Source organism: Homo sapiens, chromosome 5 (assembly GCF_000001405.40).
Source record: "Homo sapiens chromosome 5, GRCh38.p14 Primary Assembly".
Lineage (NCBI taxonomy): Eukaryota > Metazoa > Chordata > Mammalia > Primates > Hominidae > Homo > Homo sapiens.
Window position 1 is genome coordinate 18,970,930 of NC_000005.10, and position 22,186 is coordinate 18,993,115.

A 22,186-nucleotide genomic window follows, 5' to 3' on the forward strand; every position below is an offset into this window, starting at 1 on the left:
AGTTCTTTTTTTAACATACACCCCAGAAAGGTAAATATATTGGTATTAACTATAATCACCACGATCTCTTAATTCTGCTAACTGGGAGAAACCCCACTATTCATTGTTGTTCATGGCTCCTGTATCCCAGCACGGACAACTTTCTTGTAGATTATTTCCCATAACCATATCTCAAGTGAGAATTACCAAGGTAAGCTTTCAGAGACTAATTTCTACTTACTCAATTTGAGGACCTGTACATTATTTAAATACTTCCACAGTAAATGATGATTTTAAGTAAGATATTTCACTGGCAATATGTAATTTATATGCATGGGGATCGTATTCATTTGTTTCTCATCTGTTTCGTGTGTCTTTAACCATATCCAAATATATTTCTTTAATATAATAATTAGAACTGATGTATTTGCCACCTTGCTCCAATACCTTACATTCTTAAGTTAGTGAAAGCTAATTTGAAGCCTAAAAACAAAGCAAAACAAAAACTCAAAAAAAAAAAAAACCCCAAAAAAAAAACAAAAAAAGGTTGTATGGAAAAGCAGTAAACTTAGTTTCAACTTTGGACAGGGATAAATTCTTATAGATGACTGGGAATGCTCAATAGAACTTTATTGCTCAAAGGTGTTTTTAGAATCTTAGCTCAGACTGTTTGGGATCTACAAGGTTTGCCTTTTCAAACCTTTCAGTTTTCAAACTTTGAAATCTTTCTAGCTCATTTCAAGTCCACTCTTGAATCAAACAATTATTTCTTGAGTTTTCCTCTTTCTTCTATAGATATTTCAGTTGAAATGCAATATAATATATTTATGAAAAACTTTATGATTCCCAAAATTGAGTCAGATGAGAAATAAAATGCAGCATCAGGTCAATAGAAATGGATGTGGCTCTATAATCAAAGCAGTTACAATAATAATTTTAAAATTCCTTAACAAAAGCAAAGCAAATATGTATTTTAAAGTTGGAATGAAGACAGCTATTTACTTTGGTAAATGTAGAAGTTCATCTTAAAATTGTCAGTAAAGATAGTTTGATGGAAATGGGTCCAAGGAAGTAATGAGGTAGCAGAGTGTGACACAAAACACCAAGATCTCCAGTTCCCTGTGAGAAGTACTTTCAGTACAGACCAGATGCCAAACTGAGTGAAGAGGAAGAAAGAAGCCTGAAGGATTATCATGTACCACTTTGCATTTCTCTGTTGTATTCATCATTATTAATATACTGCGCAGCCGGTTGCTATCACTAAGTGGTTCAAAATATCAACACGCTATAAAATAAAAAAAAAATCCAGCATATTTCCTGCATTATATTAACATCACCCCCTATTCACCATGTGTATAGGAGAGAATTTGCATAAAATAAACACGTTTTAGCAGAACAGAATGCAAAAGCTTTCAGAATGCAGCAAGTAACAATCAGCATTCTACTAACATTGTGTTTCCAATGCTTCCCTAGCTACAGGCACTGTGAAAACTACATCTGTCTTCTGAATTATCGCAGGAAACAGTTCTACCAGTTGCACAACAAGGGTATTCATTTCCCAAGCCTTTGATAAATATGTCTTTGTCACCTGCTGTGTGTAGTGGTAAGCACTTCTGATAACAATTTCTATGTTAGGAAAAATAACACAGATAGCTATTACCAAGTCCAAATTTTCAGTGGATTAACATTTATACATGAATTTATTATTATTTTAAAAATTCAAAGTAAATGTTTTAGATTAATATGAGGGTAAATAATTTCTGCTTTTCAAATTTATGTAGGGAGCTAAGCTGAAGGATGCCCTGTCAGCTTAGTACATGATTTTCAAAGTTGACTTGGTATAAATATTCAGCTTCCAGAAGGACCAGACAAAACGCAAAGGAACATTTTTTAACCACTTCAGCCTCAAAGTGAACGTTCATCTTTTTCATTCAAGGAGTGGTCATATAATCCTATTCACACTGAAATGGGGCTAGGAGGTGCAGTCTCTTGCAAGACAGCTACTTCCCAAACCACATTTATATACAATGAAGCAAGGTAAACCATTCCTCTTGTGTCTTTTTTTTTTAATCAAAATCAACTGACTCTCCTGCAATCGTCCTTGATACCTGCATTATTATCTCAGCACTACTCACAATAGGAGAGATATGGAATCAATCTAAGTGTCCACCAATGAAGAACTGGAATTTTAAAAATGTGGTATATGTGTACACCATGGAAAGCTATTCAGCAATAAAAAGAATGAAATCATACTTTTTGCAGCAACATGGACAAACTGGAGTTCATTATTTTAAGTGGAATAACTGAAAAACAGAAAGTCAAATACTAGATATTCTCACTTATAAGTAGGAGCTAAATCATATGTACACATGAAAATAGGAAGTGGAATAATAGACATTGGAGACTCAGAAAGGTAGGATGGTGGGAGAGAGGTCAGGGATGACCAATCACCTATTGGATACAATGTACACCATTTGAGTGATGGTTACACTAAAAGCACAGATGTCACTATGTAATACAGCCATGTAAAAAAAACTGTGCTTGTACCCCCAAATCTATAAAAATAAAAATAAAAATAAACATGCAGAAAACTCTATAAAATTTAACATCTATTTATGCTAAAATCTGCCAGCAACATAGAAATAGAGATAGAAGAAAGATTCATTAATCAAATAAGTGGTATCTATTCACAATCTACACCTAACAATTGGGTCCCAGCACACTGGAACAATTAGATGTCCATATGTAAAAATATGCACTGCAACACATGAGTCACATCTTATTAACATTAACTAGAAATGGATAACATAATTAAATATAAAATGTAAAGCTATAACAAAAATGTACAGGGCTAGGCGCAGTGGGTGACACCTGTAATTCCAGCACTTTGAGAGGCTGAGGCTGGAGGATCGTTTGAGGACAGGAATTTTGGACCAGCCTGGGCAAAATAGTGAGACCTCATCATTACTAAAAATTAAAAAGAAAAGCTGAGTGCAGTGGTGCACACCTGTAGTCTCAGCTTCTTCGGAGGTTGAGGTGAGAGGATTTCTTGAGCCCAGTTGTTCAAGGTTGCAGTGAACTATGACTGCACCACCACATCCCCACCTGGGCAAAAGGGGGAGACCCTGCCTGTCTCTAAAATATGTGTGTGTGTGTGTGTGTGAGAGAGAGATAGAGAGAGAGAGAGAGAACATCTGTGTGATCTTTGGTTTAACAGTTTTTGAAATACATTAAAAATATAATCCATAAATAAAGTGATAAATTGGAGGACTTCAACAAAAGTAAAACTTTTACTCTGAAGAAGACACTATTAAAAGAATAAAAAGACAAGATTTAGGAGAAATTATTTTTCCATTACATATCTGAAAAAGGACTTATATCCAAAATATACCAAGTACTCTTAAAACCCGACAATAAGAAAACAAGCAACCCAATTAAACAAATGAGCAAAAGACTTGAACAGAAAAAATTCTCAAAGAAGATATATGGATAATGAATAAACCGATAAAAAAGATGCTCAACATTATTTGCTATCTGGGAAATCCACATTAAAAGCATAGCAATCTACTCCTGCTCACCAGCCAGAGTGGCTAAAATACAGATAATTGACTATAAGCAATCCCAGTAAGGTTATGGAACAGGAACACTCATTCATTATGGATGCAAATTCAAAATACTATAGTCAGTTTAGAAGACAGTTTGGCATTTTCTTATAAAGAGAAATATAAATATACCATAGAAAACCGTAATCTCATTCGTAGTTATTTACCAAGTGAATTAAATACATATGCTTATGCCAAAATATGTACATGGATTTGTGAAACAGGTTCACTTATTACCAATTACAATAAGGAACTTCCACCGCATCGAGGATAGCAAAGTGCATCACCTGCTAACTACCAGAAAAAGGAGTCCATACATACACTTCAGCCCACTGCGTCTTTAGCTGTACTTTTACTATTTTCCTGAGTCTGGTGATACAGAATACTCACACACATCACAAGTTGCATAAAGCAGGATTATTACTTACAGATAAGCAGCAAGGGACAATGGAAGCCTAGGATTCATAACCAGCCCGTCTCCTAAGGCTCAGAAAAGCTGGCCAGGGTGGATGGAATTTTGTTTGATCATGCCCCACTTGCACTGCAGCTGAGAAACCCCAAAACCAGTCCACTCTGGGTTTGATGCCCCAAGGGAAATGAGAATCTCTGGAATAAAGCATTGTAGAAGATTTTGCTCTAGGAGGGACAATAGCAATGCCTGGGCTGGCCTGAGCAGTTTGCTGTCTCAAGAAGTTGCATTTCCTAAGAATGAAAGAACCAAAGCCTAGGCTATTTTGGACAGGATTTTTTGTTTTGCTTTGTTTTGTTTTTTATTTCCTATCTCAGGATGTTGCCTTCTGCAATTTTTCTGAGTACTACGGGCAAAAAAAGGGGAAAAATCTGGGTCAGCAAAGGCCATCCAAGGACCATCCTGTGGGATGTTGAGAGCTTCTTTATTCATAATCACTAAAAACTAGAAGCAACCAGGATATCCTTCATCACAGAAATGAACAAACTGCAATATATCCATGCAATGGAATACTATGTATGTATAAATAGAAATTAATTAGTGATACACACAACAACATAGACGAATCTTTAATGTATTTTACTGAGGGAAAGAAGTCAGGACCAAAACGTTATGTATTGTATGATTCCATTCATAGTATATTCTGGAAAAGGCAAAACTCTACGAATGAAAAACAAATTTGTGGTTTTCAGTAGATGGGTATGGGGAATGGTTGACCACAAAGGATGAAAAAAACTTTTTAAGTTGGAGGAACTGTTATGCGGTGTTGGGATTGTGGATACATGACTGTGCATTTGTGAAAACCCATTGATTTGTACATAACAAAGAGGAAATTTTCATGTGTGCAAACCAAAAACGAAAACAGAATACCCAAACAAACCACAATCATGTACACAGAAACTCGACCAGAAGGTTGAGGGATAATACAAATTCTTTTATAAATGTATCAGATAAGAAGACTAAAGAGTGGAAGGTAAAAACTCATGTGTGAGGAAATGACCTATGTAACTATGGAAAATGCTGTTTTCGCTAGAAACCATAAGGCTAATGACAAACAAACTGAACATAAGTGCTGTACTCTAGTTGATATATATTTTTTTCTCATAGAGATACAGGTTACAAATTTTAAAACTTTGTTAAATTAATATAAGATTTAAACAAATAAATAAATGGATGGTAGATTGTGGGAGCCAGAATTCTTATTATCAGAAAAGAAGGTTATAATCAATAAGGGAAGGTTGGAATAAACCCCATCATACTGAATTTAAGTTGGAGGCATCCGTATGAGTTCACATTTAGCTTAGTAGTAGTATAATTAGACAGGTAAAAACACAATTTTATATATATATATATATATATGTATGTGTGTGTGTGTGTATATATATACATATATACATATATACATATATATACACATATATACATATATACATATATATATACGTATATACATATATATATACGTATATATATATAACAGTTTCCTATTGCTAACGTGGCAAACACCACAAACTTAGTAGCTTAAAACAACACAAACTTTTTGTCCTAAAGTCCTGAAAGATCAGAGGTTGTAAATTGGTTTTGTAGTGCTAAAACTAAGGTGTCATTAAGACTGTGTTCCTTCTGGAGGCATTGGAGTAGGATCGTCTTTCATTTTCTAGCTTCTAGAGTCTCCTTACGTTCCTTGGCACACGGTCTCTTTTTCATCTTCAAAGCCAGCAATGATAGCTGGAGTTTTTCTCACACTACATCACTCTGACACTGACTTTCTTGCTTCCCTCTCTCCCTTATGGGGATCCGTGTGATTATACAGGGCTCACCCGGATAATTCAGGTTAATCTCCTCATCTCACAATCAGGTAATCAGCAGCCCCAATTCTGTGTACAACCTTAATCCCTCCTAGACTTACAACATAACAAGTTCAAGACTCTGGCAGTTAGAATGTGGAAAATTTTGAGATATCATTTTTCTTTCTACTCTGTGTGTATACATGAGTTAATATATATTAATAAATTATTGTCTATAAGAAATGACATTCCAGTAGCAACAAACACACCACGTACCCAGATCTTGGTTTCTAAATATCTGAAAGACATGCAAAAGTTTTAGCTAAAATGATTTAAGCAAAAAAATAAATAACAGAGTAATCAATATAATCCAAAATATAAAATAAATATACAATAACCCATATCGAGAAAATAAAATATTGAATAGGTAAAGAAGAGAAAACTATTTTTTACAGAATATCCCAAATAAAATAGCCATATACAGACATTCTCCTCTACCAAGAGAGAAACATGATTTCCCCATACTTTCCTTGGGGTAAACTGGACTAAGTAACTCTAGGCCAAAGAACAGCCTGGATATAAGAAGGAAAACAGTAAATGTAAAGTGAAGGAACTTGCCAAACACTCTCTTAATCTAATGACCAAAGTTAAAATGACTGTTGATGCCATGTAGATATCAGGTAACTCCTGAAAAAATGTAATAAGAGAAGACTTCACCTCTGTGATACTCTTTTCTGAAACCTATAACCTACGTCTATTATTGAGGAATGAAAAATCATTTAAATACAAATTGAGGGATATCCTACAAAATACCTGACTTGTAATTTTTAAAAGTGACATTGTCATGAGAAACAAAGACAGAGATTCTTACAGACCAAGAAAATAAGGAGACATGACAACTAGTTGCAATATGGTATCCTTAATGGGTTTCAGGAACAGTAAAAAACAAAACCAAAAACAAAACCAAAAAAAGTTAAAAAACTAGTGAAATCTGAACACAATATGAAGTTTTGTTTTTAAAAAAATCTCATACTCTCTTGAATTTCTGTAAGCAAAAATGTGTGTTTGATATGAAAATTTCAATAATAGAATGATCTAGAGAAGATAGGAAAATATATAAATAATTTTTTAAAATTTGGAAGACAGGTAATAACTGGAGCTATAACAGACAATAGCAAATTTTTAGAGTCCATATAAAAATCAAGTGTAAGCAAAAACAAAAAGATGCATAAATTAATACATTAGAATAGAACATACAGAAAAGAAATCAAGCGTGTAAGATTTGATTGTCTTGGTTTGTTTTTTGCTGATGTAACAGAATACCTGAGACTGGGTAATATATAAGGACAGACATTCATTTTCTCATAGTTCTGGAATCTGGGAAGTCCAAGATCAAAATGCTGTCATCTGGCAAAGGCCTCATGAGAGTCCCCATGGCCTGCTTACCTCTTAAAGGTCCTCTTAATACTTATAATCAACTAAATTTCAACATGAGTTTTGGAGTGAATATTTAAACCATAGCAATTATTATAATTATAGTACTTGTCAAGAAGGAATGTATGCATTATTTATAAAAGTTTGAGAAAAAATGACTATTAACTTCAAAATTACTGGCTTGATTTATATCTCAATTAACATAACTATAGTATAAGTTGTTTCTAAAATCTAGAAAATAAAACCATGTGCAAGTTAAAATTTCTATTTAAAATTGCTAGCTAATTTGTGTTAAACCACTTCATAAACACTACTCTTAAGGGTAAGAATTGTGAAGTCCAAGGCTGACAGTTGAGAGCAAAAAATGACATATTCTTGTGAACTAAATATTGAAGTTAAAAATGAGAAACACTGTTATCAATCTAGAACAATATTTGCAATTGTTCTGTAAAACAGAGAAGGGTGAAATAACTGTATTATGAACAAAGCTGCCAAATCATTAAACACTTCTTTTTCCAGTGTGTCTAAAGATATGATAGACAATCTACTTGAGAAAAAACGAAAATGTCAAGCATTTAAAATGATTTCAGTCCTGTTTCTAATAAGCTTAATTCATTACAAAATAATATTGTCTGCAGATTGGCAGAAATCTAAAGAGTAATGCTGCTCCTTCACCGTTTAGGGTGGAATATATGAGGAAAGGTCATTCTCTTTTGTTGCTGTAGGAAATAATTGGTAGAAACATTTTTTTTTTCCTTTTTCTTCAGCTTTATTGAGGTATAATTGGCAAATAAACACTGTATTTATTTACGGTATGCAGCATGATATTTTGATAGACAGGTACATTGTGAAATGATTACCACAGTCGAGCTAATTAGCACATCCATTATCTCACATCATTACCTTTCTTTGTGAGAATGTGGAGATTTGATATCTTAGGAAACATCAAGAGTATAACACAATGCTGTTAACTATAGTAGTCCCTCTTTATCCACTGGCAATATGGTCCAAGACACTTGGTGCATGCTTGAAACCACGGAGAGTACTGAATCCTAACCATGCTAGGTTTTTTTCTTATATATGTATACCTGTGACAAAGTTTAATTTATAAATTAGGGAGACTATGACATTAAAAACAGTATAATCATAAAATAGAACAATTATATGCTATAATAAAAGTTATGTGAATGTAGTCTCTCTCTTTCAAAATCCTTTTTTGCACTGTACTCACCTATTTTCTGACTACAGTTGACTACAGGCGACTGAAACTGCAGACAGGAAAACCATGGATAAGAAGAGACTAATGTGTAGTCACCAGGCTGTACATTCAGTATCCAGAATTTATTCATCTTATAACTGAAATTTGGTACCCTTTGACCAGCATCTCCCCTTTTCCCAAGTCCTCCCCCACCTGTGATAAACACCCTTCTACTCTCTGTTGGTATGTGTTGAAATTTTTTACATTCCTCATATAAGGGAGATAATTCAGTATTTGTTTTTCTGTGTCTGGCTTATTTCACTTAGCTTAATGATCTCCACGTTCATCCGTGGTATCACGAATGGCAAGATTTCCTTCTTTCTGAAGGCTGAATAATATTCCATTGTATTGTGAAAAGACATAAAAGAGAAAGTAGAACTAATCAACCCAGGCCTGTTCTAAATCTCAGTTCTGGCCCAGGGATGTGCAGAGGTGCAAAGGCAGCTATGGTAGCTAGGATTGCATGCTGTAATCTCCCATAAATAGAAAGCTGTAACCTCAGGGTCTATAAGCAAAAGCTGACCCCTTGCCTATGTAATTGAAGTATGTTAAATATTTCATTGACAAGTACTGGTATTAACCTTGTTTATTGAATGTAGAACAAGGTAGAATGAAATCAATTATCCTCCCACCAGACTCTTAAGATGCCTACACAATTATTAATCTTTTCCTCCTACCCACTCAACCACATATTTGTTCTATGTATAAATATCACTGGACACTAATCAAATTTGCAAAAATGTAACATGTGCTTTGCTGCCCATCCTCTGTATTGTGTATTGTACTTATCCCTTTGCTAAAAAACAAAAACTATATAAGTATTGTGTTTCATGTAATCGACACAGGCTACTGTAATCTTGGCTTCCTGGGTGCGCATCCTCAAGCTCCATCTTAATAAACCTCATTAGGTTGAGATTCCTGTATCAGTCTCTCATTTAGATTGATGGTACATACATATCACATTTTCTTTATCCATTTTTCTGTCAACAGACACTTAGATTGTTTGTTTCCATACCTTGGCTATTGTGAATAACATGGCCGTGAACATGGGAATGCAGATATCTCTGTAAGACAGCAATTCTATATACTTTGGATATATAGCCAGAATGGGATTGCTGGATCATGTGGTAATTCTATTTTTAATTTTAATATGAACCTCCATACTGTTTTTCTTAATGACTATACCAATTTGCATTTCCACCAACAAGGTATAAGGGTTCTTTATTCTCATCTTCATTGATACTTGTTATCTTTTGACTTTTTTATAGTAGCATTACAGACTTTCTTAAATGGGAGGATGGGAGTAGGGTTAGGGTGAAAATAATTGCCTATAGGGTACAATGTTCACTATTTGAGTGATAAGTTCACTAGAAGCCCAAACATCACCATTATGCAAAATGTCCATGTAACAAACTTGGACATATACCCCCTAAATCTAAAATAAAAAAATAAAAATAAAGAAAGAAAATGTACAAGTAGATACAAAAACCTTTGAAAACATAAAATAATGAATGCATTTAACCTAGGAACTTAGATTAAGGAAATGATTGGAAAATTCTAGGCAAAAAACAAGTGTGTATGCAAATTATATTGGTTAGGCTAGGTTGTAATGAGAAAGTGGCTGAATACTATGCAGTCATTACGAGAATGGTTGATATGAATGAATGATTTGGTTCATTCACTTGCTCCATGTAGATTGCTTTTGTCCCAAAATTTTTGCTAACTCATTGTAACCTATAATATTCTTTTATAAAGCAGCAGTAATTGGAGTGAATGTTGATGACTGTACACTTCTTTCTTTTTTAACTTTTATTTTAGGTTTGGGGGTACATGTATATTTACATATGTAAATATGTGTCATGGTGGATTGTTGAACATATTATTTCATCACCCACGTCTTAAGTCCAGTACTCAATAGGTATCTTTTCTGCTCCTTTCCTTCCCACTACCCTCCATCCTCAAGTAGAGCCCAGTATCTGTTGCTTCCTTCGTGTTCTTATCATTTAGCTCCCACTTATAAGTGAAAACATGTGGTATTAGGTTTTATGTTCTTGCATTCATTTGCTAAGGATGATAGCCTCCAGCTCCATCCATGTTCCCACAAATGACATTATCTCATTGGTTTTTATGGCAGCATAATATTTCATGGGGTATATGCACCACATTTTATTTGTCCAATCGGTCATTGATGGGCATTTAGGTTGATGCCATGTCTTTGCTATTGTCAATAGTGCCGCAATCAACACCTGTGTGCATGTGTTTTTATGGTAGAATGCTTTATATTTTCTGAGTATATACCAGGTAATGAGATTGATGGGTTGAATGCAGTTCTGCTTTTAGCTCTTTTAGGAATCACCATACTTCTTTGCACAATGGTTGAACTAATTTACACTCCCACCAACAGTGTATAAGTGTTCCCCTTTCTCTTCAACATCACCAGCATCTGTTATTTTTGTGACTTTTAAATAATAGCCATTCTTACTGGTGTGAGATGGTATCTCATTATAGTTTTTATTTGTAATTCTCTAATGATCAGTGATACTGAGCTTTTTTTCGTAGGCTTGTTGGCCCGATGTATGTCTTCTTCTGAGAAGTGCTTGTTTATGTCCTTTGCTCACTTTTTAATGGGGTTGGCTTTCTCTTGTAAATTTAAGTTTCTTATATATGTTGAATGTTAGAACTTTATCAGATGCATAGTTTGCAAATATTTGCTCCTATTCTGTAGATTGTTTACTCTGTTGATAGTTTATTTTACTGTGCAGAAGCTCTTAAGTTTAATTAGATCCCACTTGTCAATTTTTGCTTTTGTTGTAATTGCTTATAGTGTCTTTGTCATGAAATTTTTGCCATTTCCTATGTCCAGGAAGGTTTTGCCTAGGTTGTCATCCAGGGTTTTTATAGTTTGGGGTTTTACATGTAATTCTTTAATCCATTGTGAATTGATTTTTGCGTCTGGTGTAAGGAAGTGGTCCACCTTTAATCTTCTGCATATAGTTAGACAGTTATCCCTGCAGCATTGCTTGAATAGGGAGTCTTTTCTCTATTGCTTCTTTACGTCATCTTTGTTGAAGGTCAGATGATTGTAGATGTGTGGCCTTATTTCTGGGCTCCCTATTTTTTCCATTTGTCTGTGAGCCTGTTACACAGGACTAGAAAAAACTATTTTAAAATTCATATGAAACCAACAATGAGACAAAATAGCCAAGACAATCGTAAGCAAAAAGAAAAAATCTGGAAACATCACATTACCTGACTTCAAACTATACTACAAGGTTACAGTAACCAAAACAGCATGGTACTGAGACATGTATACTTCTTTTGGTTAACAACATGTATTAATTCCCTACAGCTATCATGCATCTCAGAATTATTCCAGTCTCTCCCCATTGCCAATGTGAAAGCCATCTCCATATTTTTAAGTGTTTGTTATAGCAGCACTTCATTTCCTGTTGCCAAAAGCTATATGAAAGTCCGATGGCTGCTGTAAAAAATTATCACAGATTGGTGGCTTAAAAACACAGAAATCTATCCTTTCACATTTCCGGAGGCCAGACTGAAAAATCAAGGTATTGTAGGACTGTATTCTTTCTGGAGTATCTAAGGGAGAATCCATCTTTTGCCTCTTCTAGCTTCTGGTAGCTACCGGCCTTCCTGGGTTTATTGCCTTATCACTGCAATCTTTGCCTCTATCTTCACATCACTTTCCTTTATGTGTGTACCTGTACCAAAATTTCCTCTGTTTCTCTCTTGTTAGACTACACATGATTTCACTTAGGACCCATACTGATAACCCAGAATAAACAACTCAAGATTCTTAACTTATCTTTTCCCATTGGGAAGATAATATTAACTCTTCCCATATATGGTAATATTTATAAATTCTGATATTTAGGATGTCAATATACCTTTGAGGCCACTACCCAGCCTGCCGCCATGTGAATATGCTCATACAATCGTAAATGAAGACTAACGAATAGAATTTGCATTTTGAAATGAATCTATGATACTTTTTATGTACTTTTTCTCATATTACAAATAAATTTATGGTCATGAAGTATACTTTTTCAATAGGTTTTAATTGATGTACCAACATTAATGTTTTATTATCAATTTCAGGTACAAATGTTTAATTTTTGACTTTATTATGAAATTGAGTCATTTTCTTCTGCACTCTTTTAGGAACTGAAAACACTCATTACCAACTTTTCTGTCACCTCCAGCAGTAATTCTCTTCTCCTTTCCAAGGTATTGTTACTGCCTAAATGAACTTCCTGTATCTTTTCCATATCTGATGCTATTCTCAATGTAACAGTTTGTCACTTCCCAGAGGCACAGTGCAAGCAATTTATTTTCCTTTGAAATGTTCACTCTAAAAGAAGTCAAAACTTGTCACAAGTTGAAGGCAAAGGCAGAGGATGCTTTAAAAGTGTGAGGTGAGCCAGGGGGCAAGATGGTAGCTTAAAAGAGAACAGACTTTGAAGTCAGACAGACCATTAGCTGGGGACCCTTGGGCACTGCACAGAATTCTCATGAGTTTTAGTTTCCAACACTGTAAAATTGGTGTAATTATCTAGGCAATGCACATGGTTGTTATAAAGATGCTCCCATTCCACATAAATGTGTTAATATTGCTTATTTAACATTAGGGAGCAGAGGTATATAAATAGCCCAGCACAGGGCCTGGCATGAGAATGCTTTCTTTTTAAAGGTACTAGCTATTATTTTATTAATGCTGAGATAGCATATTCGTTATTGTATCTTCACAGGCTGCAGTAAAGTCTCCCAAATCTCAGGAACTTAGCAAAATAAAGGTAATCTCTTTTCCATGCTACAAGTCCAGTGTTATTTACTATCAAAAGAAGAAAAAGAAACAGTTTGACTTTTTGTGGTATGGAAGAGGTATTGCAAACCATTTCCATGAGAATTTTTTCTTTTAAGTAGAAGAATGAAGATCACGTCTCAAACTGCAGTGCTCTTTGATTTTTCTATAATCATATCCAAGGCAGGTTCACCGTGAAGTGTGCCTTAAAGGTATATAGCCTTCCTGTTAATGACATAAAGAAAAGATAGAGAGTAAGTGTATGTAGACTCTGGGTCCAGTCTACCTAGGATCAAATGTGACACAGGTGCTACAAGCTAGCTTTGAGGTAAAAGACCTCCATGAGGAGTCACTTTAGAAAGCTCTGCTTCGGTTGTCTCCACTGGCAACTGCAGTTGATGACGATAACGGCATCTATCAAGGTTGGTTGCTAGGAATAAAATGTTCTAATCCATGCGAGAACACTGAGAACAATGCTTCATATATAATATTGCAAAATCCACCCCTAGGGGATTGGAGAATGACAAGTAAATATGTAAAGTAAGATGTTGCTGATCCAGACCCAAGGTAAACAGAAGGCTTCTATCATTTTCTTCAACATCATTATAAAGAAAGATTACTATTGTGCCTTGGGGCAAGGTAATAATTTGATATGAATCACCAATAAAAGTTGAAAACTTCCCAGAGTTTCAGAAACCCTGAAAATTTATTACGAGGGCGAATGCCAGTTGAATTGATGCTCTAATTTGTTTTGTTTTTTTTTTACTATCAGGTTTTGTGTTATGTATAAATCCATTAGTTTATCATAAGTCTGCCCTGTTTGAATACAAACCTCATGAAGGCAAGGTTTTTGTCTTGTTTTCTTCTGTGTACCCATTGAGAAATGTAGAACTCTCCGCACATAATAATTCAGTCCAGACCTCTGCACTAAGAGATGACCAAATTCTAGCATGGCTTCTAGCAGCATAAATTCCTGTCCCTAGGATGACCCCAACCTCCCCACTAAAATGCCTGCCTGAGAAATGATCAGCACTGCCAGGAGAATAGATAGACTGCTTGTTATAGCCATAGACTTCTTGTTATGGCCAACATAGGAGATAGGCCCCTGACCTCCCTTAGAGCAATTACTAAAAATAGCTTACATTTATGAATACTTTCTCTGTCCCTTTGAGATATGTATGTATCACCTATAACTCAGAAGTGTCTTTTTTAAGGACGTGAAAGCCATTCCTTTGAAATGTAATTAATCATCAAGGAGGACGGGCCTCTGCATCCCAGTCTCTGTGGGACAATAGAACTCTTTCTTCTATAATAGCCAGCTAGCAGAAAAGCTGGCCTAATTGCGTTTACACTGACCAATCCTTTGTAAATTTTTACTTCCTGGCTCTGCTGGAGTCCCTACCCACCCGTTCCCTCATTCTTTCTTTAAAATTCCCAGTTACCTGCAAACATCAGAATGAGCACAGCTCTTTCCTCCACTGTTAGTAGTTAGTGAATAAAATCCGTTTTTACTGATTTAACTAATGTCCGGCTGTGTTTATCTTTGATACCAGCTCCTAGAATATGGTACCAACTCCTGACCTATATATGCTAATCAATATTTTTGGGTTAATGAATCAGTAAGTAAAAGAATCTTGTCACTTATTGATCTTTTATAGTAACAACTTTCTCTTAGATGTTCTGCCCAGAACAATTTGCTTGGCTTGTTAATTTCCGACAACTTGTTAGGCTGATTCTTGGGAATTCTAACTGTTTATTTTTCTAAAATGAAGGATGGCCACCAATGCCAATTACATTTCATGAAGATAGAAAGCCGATATACAGGTAATTCAATTTTGGTTAAATTTGGTTAAATATATATATATATATACACACACACACACACACACACACACACGTTTATTTGTAAAAATATACATTTAGAAATTTAACCAAATTATATATATATATATTCATTCTATATATACATGCCTGAATTTAATTTGTTTTTCCCCCAAAAGGAATATAAGTGGAGTAAATTCTGTTTCTCATTCAAATTAGGTTCACGTTGGGTACAATTCACATACAGTAAAATCAACTTATTTTAGGTGTGTACAGCTTTGAGACAGATATGAGGTTGTATAACCATCCCTGGCAACCACTGACATGATCTTAAAGTCTTGCCTTTTAGTACGTCACATCAGTGGGCCCAGACAGTGTAATATATCCATTACATTTTCATTTCAATGCTCTTTTTGAAATTGTGTGTGTGCGTGTGTGTACATATATATATATAGAAAGAGAGAGACAGGGAGAGAGAAACATATCAGGTGATGAAAATAGACATGTTACAAGTAGCTTTTCTGCTGTGATATTATCTTTTTGCATGTGTAGTCGATCATTTTGCCTTTGCTTCCCTTGACATATCCCCACAAATTTTGTGATTTAGCAATCTGGGACTAAAGTATTTAAGGTAGAGTCCTAAGTGTGACAAATCTAATGCATTTTTTTTGTTTTGTTCTTGACAAACAAAACAAAATAGAAAACCAAAGAAAGGACAACTGTGATCATCTCTCCCTCCCCCACCCCCAAACAAACTCCTTCCTGTGACTCTCTCTTTCAGTGTAAGCATTCTCCCAGTTCGCAGAAGGGTCTTTGTGACATTCCAACACTGATATTCCTCTCCCTCATTGTCAATCATTTGGCATTTATTAAATATTTGTTTACATATTGTTTCTTTTGAAAATATCTAAAGTTCAAAACAAAGGCTTCTGTTTATTGATTCTTTACACACAATTCACTTACTCTCTGAGACTCTAGAAATATAATACAATGTATTTTTTGGAATCTGCCCTTTCCTTCTTAGTGAGGTTGCTGTGCAATGCAAGTCAAATGATACAATGGGAAAGAAATCAAATTAGGAAGCATTATGCAATGATCAGGTGTCATTTTTATCTGCCACTGTTCTAACTCACCCTTGGTCTACCGAAAGTTCCTGACAGGTTAATTCCTCTAATCTTCTCATGCTCCAAATTCATTCCCTGTCCAGCTCTTAGTTTTATCTTTTTAAAACACAGTTCTAATCCTATTATTGCCCTGCTAAAAAGTTCTTGATGGATTCTCACCACTGACCTCACTAAACCCAGATTTCTTACCCTGCTGCTTAAAACCTACTGCAAGAGCATCCTAAAAAAATGTTCTTTGTTTTATCTTTCTATAACTTCCCTACAAACCCTTATGCCCTCATTACATTACATTTTGTGCTCTTGCCAGAACAGGCCCAAATTCACTTTTGCCTCACTTAGAAGGTCCTGACACATTTGCAGTGCAAAGTAAATATTAATTCCCTTTAGTTAATCAGGAAAATAAGTAGGCAGTATCAAATCCACAATTTTGAGACATTTTAGTGTTAAGAAAATAGTTAAATAATAATTATATAATACTACTTTTATTATCTTTATTTAGATAGTATCAAGTACATTAAGTCAGAGTAAAGTTAATTTTATTGTTTCCTGTACGCCAGTAATTAGTTCAGCAAATGGTTATTGTAACACAATCAATAGTTACAGTATTATAAATGCCATTATTTAATAAGGTAAATATAAATTTTTAATTATAAATTGAAAAACAATTCTCTGTGATGACGAATGTTTTAAAATTAATTTAAAATTTAAAGGAAGATTTGAAATTAGGCAAATCATGGAAATATTTTGTAACAGGTAAAAGATGAAGCCTGAATCATAAAATCCAGTTAAAGCAATAATGCTACAGAATTTGGTACAAAATATTCCTCTACAGTGATAACTTAAAAATGATTAAATGTAATGAATCTCTTTTTTATCTCATATGCACACTAGTGCATACATGAAAAGCACTTACACAAAAAGTTTTCAAACAGTACCAGACAATGTGCTGTGAGTTCATGAACTCTACCACAAAGTATTTTGCTAAGTCCTCAAACTATATCTCCTGATAACAGACATTAAAGTGATATGTGTAGTTCTTATATTGAGACCAGTCTAGTCATTATTCTTAAACTAAAGAACATATAGATGATGAACCAATTATAAATACTTTGAAAGAATAAAAAATGCCTATTTCTAATAAATGAGATATAATTTAGGAAGGATTATGCCTTCTCTGATTGCTTCCATAGATCTAGAAAAAATTATACATTCTGATAGGCAAGTGTGTTCATGTGATACAATAAAAGATTCTTATTCTCAATAATTTTACCCAGCAATTCTGAACATAAATTAAATACAAAGGGGCAAATGTCAATATATGTATAAGGTTAGTGCTTTTTGATTAAGATTTATGTTAAATCTCTGTTCATATGTTATTTGTTTTCTCTAAATTAGTTCACTATATGTTTTATTTCTATATCTAATAGATAAGTGATACATACCTATATATGTTTATATGGATATGAATAATATATGCATATATATGAGTATATATATATTCATACATAATTTCACAGTAGTTGTTGGTACTTTAGTATCTTTGATTTGGTTAGACTACTAAAGACCAAAGAAACAAATCTAAAACAATGTACAATAAAACATGTCTGCATTTCCCTTTATTACGTCCTCACAGTGTGTTTACTCAGAGACAGCATGCCAATTCACTAGTCAACAAAACAGATACTTAACGTTGTTAAGTTACACTGATGTCCATGGTGTATCACATAAGCAGTAAAGTGGTGCCTACATTATTGTGCCCTTTTAGTTCAATATTTCTGTGTTTAGATAGTTATATAAGGCATTGAAGGCTAGTGGTTAAGCTTGCAAAAGCTGGAATCTAATTTTCTAATTCCGGTATTGGTTCTAATACTTTTTAGATGTATGCTGACAAACAAGAATCTTAAACCTCTCTGCCTCCATTTTCTCATATATAAAATGTAGCTAAAAACAATCTCAAAGTATAGTATACAGTTTAAATGAATTAATATTTGTAACATACGTAGATCAGTGACTTAATCATAATAGACATATGGAATCATTTATAAAATAAAATAAAACCGCCAATTTTCTTTCTTGTGGTTTCATAAGAAACAGGGCAAAACTTTCCCCTCATGGCAGCCATACAAGTTTATGGGATTAATATTATTTTTTATCACTCTTCTGCTTGTCTTTCCTCTTGGGCCAGAATTTCATTTTCCTAATTGTTTTATTTACCAATAGAATATTTTATACATTTAGAGGTCAAGGCTTGTCTATATTTATTGTAATATGTAAAAGTTATTCTCACCCTTGCTCTGTCTCTCTTTCTCTCTGTGTGTGCATGTGCGTGTGTGTGTGTATGTATGTGAGTGTGTGTGTGTTATTTTTATACCTGAGCATCTCCAGTGTCACTCATTTGGTAGATATTTATTGATACCTTATTCAATATTTGCAATTACTGAAAAAGACATGGTCCATATAACCCGTGCTTTTAAGAAACTTACATTTTGGACATTTTAAAATATTTGATATGAAGACATAAAACCAAATACCATATCAAAAATTGCTGTATCAAATTGATCTTCTCACCATTACTATCTAATGTATTACATTATAGATTATGTTTTTTTAAGTAAGACACAATAATGTAGCATTGCCAATTATTTTCAAAGTGAATCATATAAAATTAGTATACAATTATTATAACTTCACAGAAAATAAATATAGGTTAATAAAAACAATAGGAGTAACGAATTAAAAATAAAGGGCAGTATTTCACAGAAAGGGTTGTAATTTACAAATAGAACTTTAAAAGCAATTTAAAAATAAAATTTTAAGTTTAAAAGTAATAAAACACAGTGTTAATTATGGTATTTGATTTATTCATCTACATTGAAATTGTCTTTGTTTTCTACATTTCTAGTTAAAAACGGCATATTAGAACTCCACAATGACAAAGAAAATGGAGATGCAAATCAGCAAATGAAAGACTTGGGGGAAGAAATACCCTACAAAACACCAAAATTTTCCTTAAGTTGAGGAAGGCAGAAAACAGAGAAGGAGGCAGAAAACAGAGAAGGAAGTAGAAAACAGAGAAGGCATGTGAAGCTTCAGATTCAGTGAAAGTGCAGGCTTATGTATCAATGACATAATTAATGCAAACAAGAAATCTAATGTAGTACCATTGAAATGCAAAAAACATAAATACAGGAAAAAAATAACAGCCACATTTTTCATTTGTCCCTAGCATTGAGGCGTTTTGTCCTGCCTGTTTTCACATAATGCAAAAAAAAAAAAAAAAAAAAAAAAAAAAACTTACAGTCGAGAAGCACCAAACTTGTATTCAAAACTAACATATCTGAGTTTAGTGCCTTTTTCTGATTGAATAAACAAGATGCATTAACATGAAATTGAATAAACTAGGTAAAACCAGTTAATAATTGGGAGAACTAAAACACATGAAACTTCAATTACTATATTTAGTATATATGAAGAAAGTCATACATACATCAGAATTAGATGCCTTGATATAAAAGTAATCTGAGGCTGAGCACAGTGGTTCATGTCTGTAATCCCAGCACTTTGGGAGGCTGAGGAAGGTGGATCACTTGAGGCCAGGAGTTTGAGGCCAGCCTGCCCAACATGGTGAAACTCTGTCTCTATTAAAAATACAAAAATTAGCCAGGCACAGTGGAGCATGCCTGTAATCCCAGCTACTGGGGAGGCTAAGACATGAGAATTCGTTTGAACCCAGGAGCTGGAAGTTGTAGTGAGCTGAGACTGTGCCATGCACTCCAGCCTAAGGAACACAGCAAAACTCTGTCTCAAAAATAAATAAATAAATAAATAAATAAATAAATAAAATAAAAAATAAAAATAAAAAAGTAATCTGAGAAAAATGAGACCTTGAAAATTAATTTGTTTGGTGTAATTTTAAAAAAACCCATTGTAAGCATCATCATATAATATTAAGGTCATTATCAAGACTGCAGAGACCACCTCTTCCATCACCAGCAATGAAAGGATGTGAACCAAAAATTAAGAATAAACATGGCAGCAGATGTTTCAATTGAAACACTGGATATTGAAAAACAATGTAATAATGTCTTCAAATTTTTGAAGAATGAATATTTTCCACTAGAATCAATAATCTAGAATATTAATTCAATATGAGTGGAATAAAGATATTTGCTTCCATGCACAGCTTCGAGCAACATTGTTCCCAGTGTCTTCTCATGAGAACTGAGTTTGCTCTAGCAAAATGAGAGAGTAGCTTCAGGAAGAGAAAGATTTTGGAATCAGTGGAGTCAGCCTGAGAAAACCAGTGAGAGAAGCAAGCCACACAGTGTCGTGGATAACCCTGGCTTTAATGAGCAGATTAACGAGCACAAATTAGAAGAGGATATTATCATCTGGAAAAGAAAGGGTGCTTGACAAAAAGAAAAAGCAAGGTAGAGGGAAACTTAGTAAACAAACCTTACGAGTCATAGATTTAAAAGTGTGAATTATATGAAGGACATTTTTGACAAAAGTATATTAAAAATGTATGCTTATAAAATATTTCAAGTGGAATCAAGTTTAGAGAATAAAGGTTGTGTTTAAAGTTAGGCATTTACTGTGTTATATGCTAAGCAGAGGACAATTCTAATATAAGCACATAAGCAAAACTATTTTTATCACAATAATATTTTGATCTCATGAAATAGGAGGAGGAAATGTAAGTAATGAGAATAATAACTAAAATATAGAGTGTTCACCTTACTCTATTTCGGGCTTTCATTACTTCTTAGCATTTGGAGACATTAGAATAATGCAGATAGATTATGACGGTGGTAGAGGAATGATTATTTGTAGTTTTAATAAGCTGTGACTGACCTTTAGGACATCAAATGCTATTATTTGTAAACTCTTACGGGCAAAAAACAAAAAAATAAAACATTTCTGGCATCAATGCCATTTTAAAAAAATGAGACATATTATGCATGCTTCTGGAATACATTACTTACAGAAGAGTCCTGAAGTGGATCACCCCAGTTCTTACAAATATTAGTCTCTAATAATGCAAAGTCAAGAATATTCTCATAATGGAATGAAGTGATTTGATGTTTAGTAAAATATTCACATTCACACATATTGAAATTCACAAAGCATATTGAGAAACAGGTAGGAATTCAGAGCTCTGTCCTCAAATATTTCTGCTTGTTTCAATACAACATGTTAAGCATATGTCAAATCCACAGTCTAGTGATAACTGTTGCTAAGCAATGCTCGCTTGGATTTGTTTCCATGTAATCATCTTACTTATTACAATATTCTAGTGCAAATAGAGATTGCTTAGAAGAAATTGTCTCTGTATGACTAAGGTTCTTAACAAGCACTTTCCTTCTCCCTTTTAAACTTCAAAATCTTTTGTACCTATGCCAGATAAAAAAAAAGGCTCCATCTCTTGGATGTCTTCATTATAATTGAATTGAAACTACCTACTAATTTTATTCATCATAACTTCTCTCATCACCATTTCTTTATCATCATGTTTTGACTAACAAGCACTGAAAAATGAGGAGTTGAATGAAAAGTAAAAATAAAGGATTATCAGATAATGATCTCAGTCAGAATAAAATAATGACAGCAAAATCAGTTGCATGTCATTACAATTCAAACATAGTTATTTGTTGACTTATGTATTAGTTTTATTATTATTATACTTTAAGTTCTGGGATACACGTGCGGAATGTGCAGGTTTGTTACATAGGTATACATGTACATTGGTGGTTTGCTGCACCAATCAACCCATCATCTACATTATGTATTTCTCCTAATGCTATCCCTCCCCTAGCTACCCACCCCGTGACAGGCCCCATTGTGTGATGTTTCCCTCCCTATGTCCATGTGTTCTCATTGTTCAACTCCCACA

General features: G+C 33.9%; 1 long non-coding RNA gene across 2 annotated transcripts; it reads left to right on the forward strand.

Moving 5' to 3' along the window:
• The first annotated feature begins 1,478 nt into the window (after positions 1–1,478).
• On the forward strand, positions 1,479–19,509 carry LOC105374669 (uncharacterized). Of its 2 annotated transcripts, XR_925815.1 has the most exons (5): positions 1,479–1,582; positions 12,709–12,774; positions 13,296–13,340; positions 15,121–15,172; positions 19,196–19,509. It is a non-coding gene; the product is annotated as an uncharacterized LOC105374669 (long non-coding RNA). The 2 variants fall into 2 exon arrangements; XR_925817.1 differs by lacking the exon at positions 13,296–13,340.
• Positions 19,510–22,186: the final 2,677 nt, after the last annotated feature.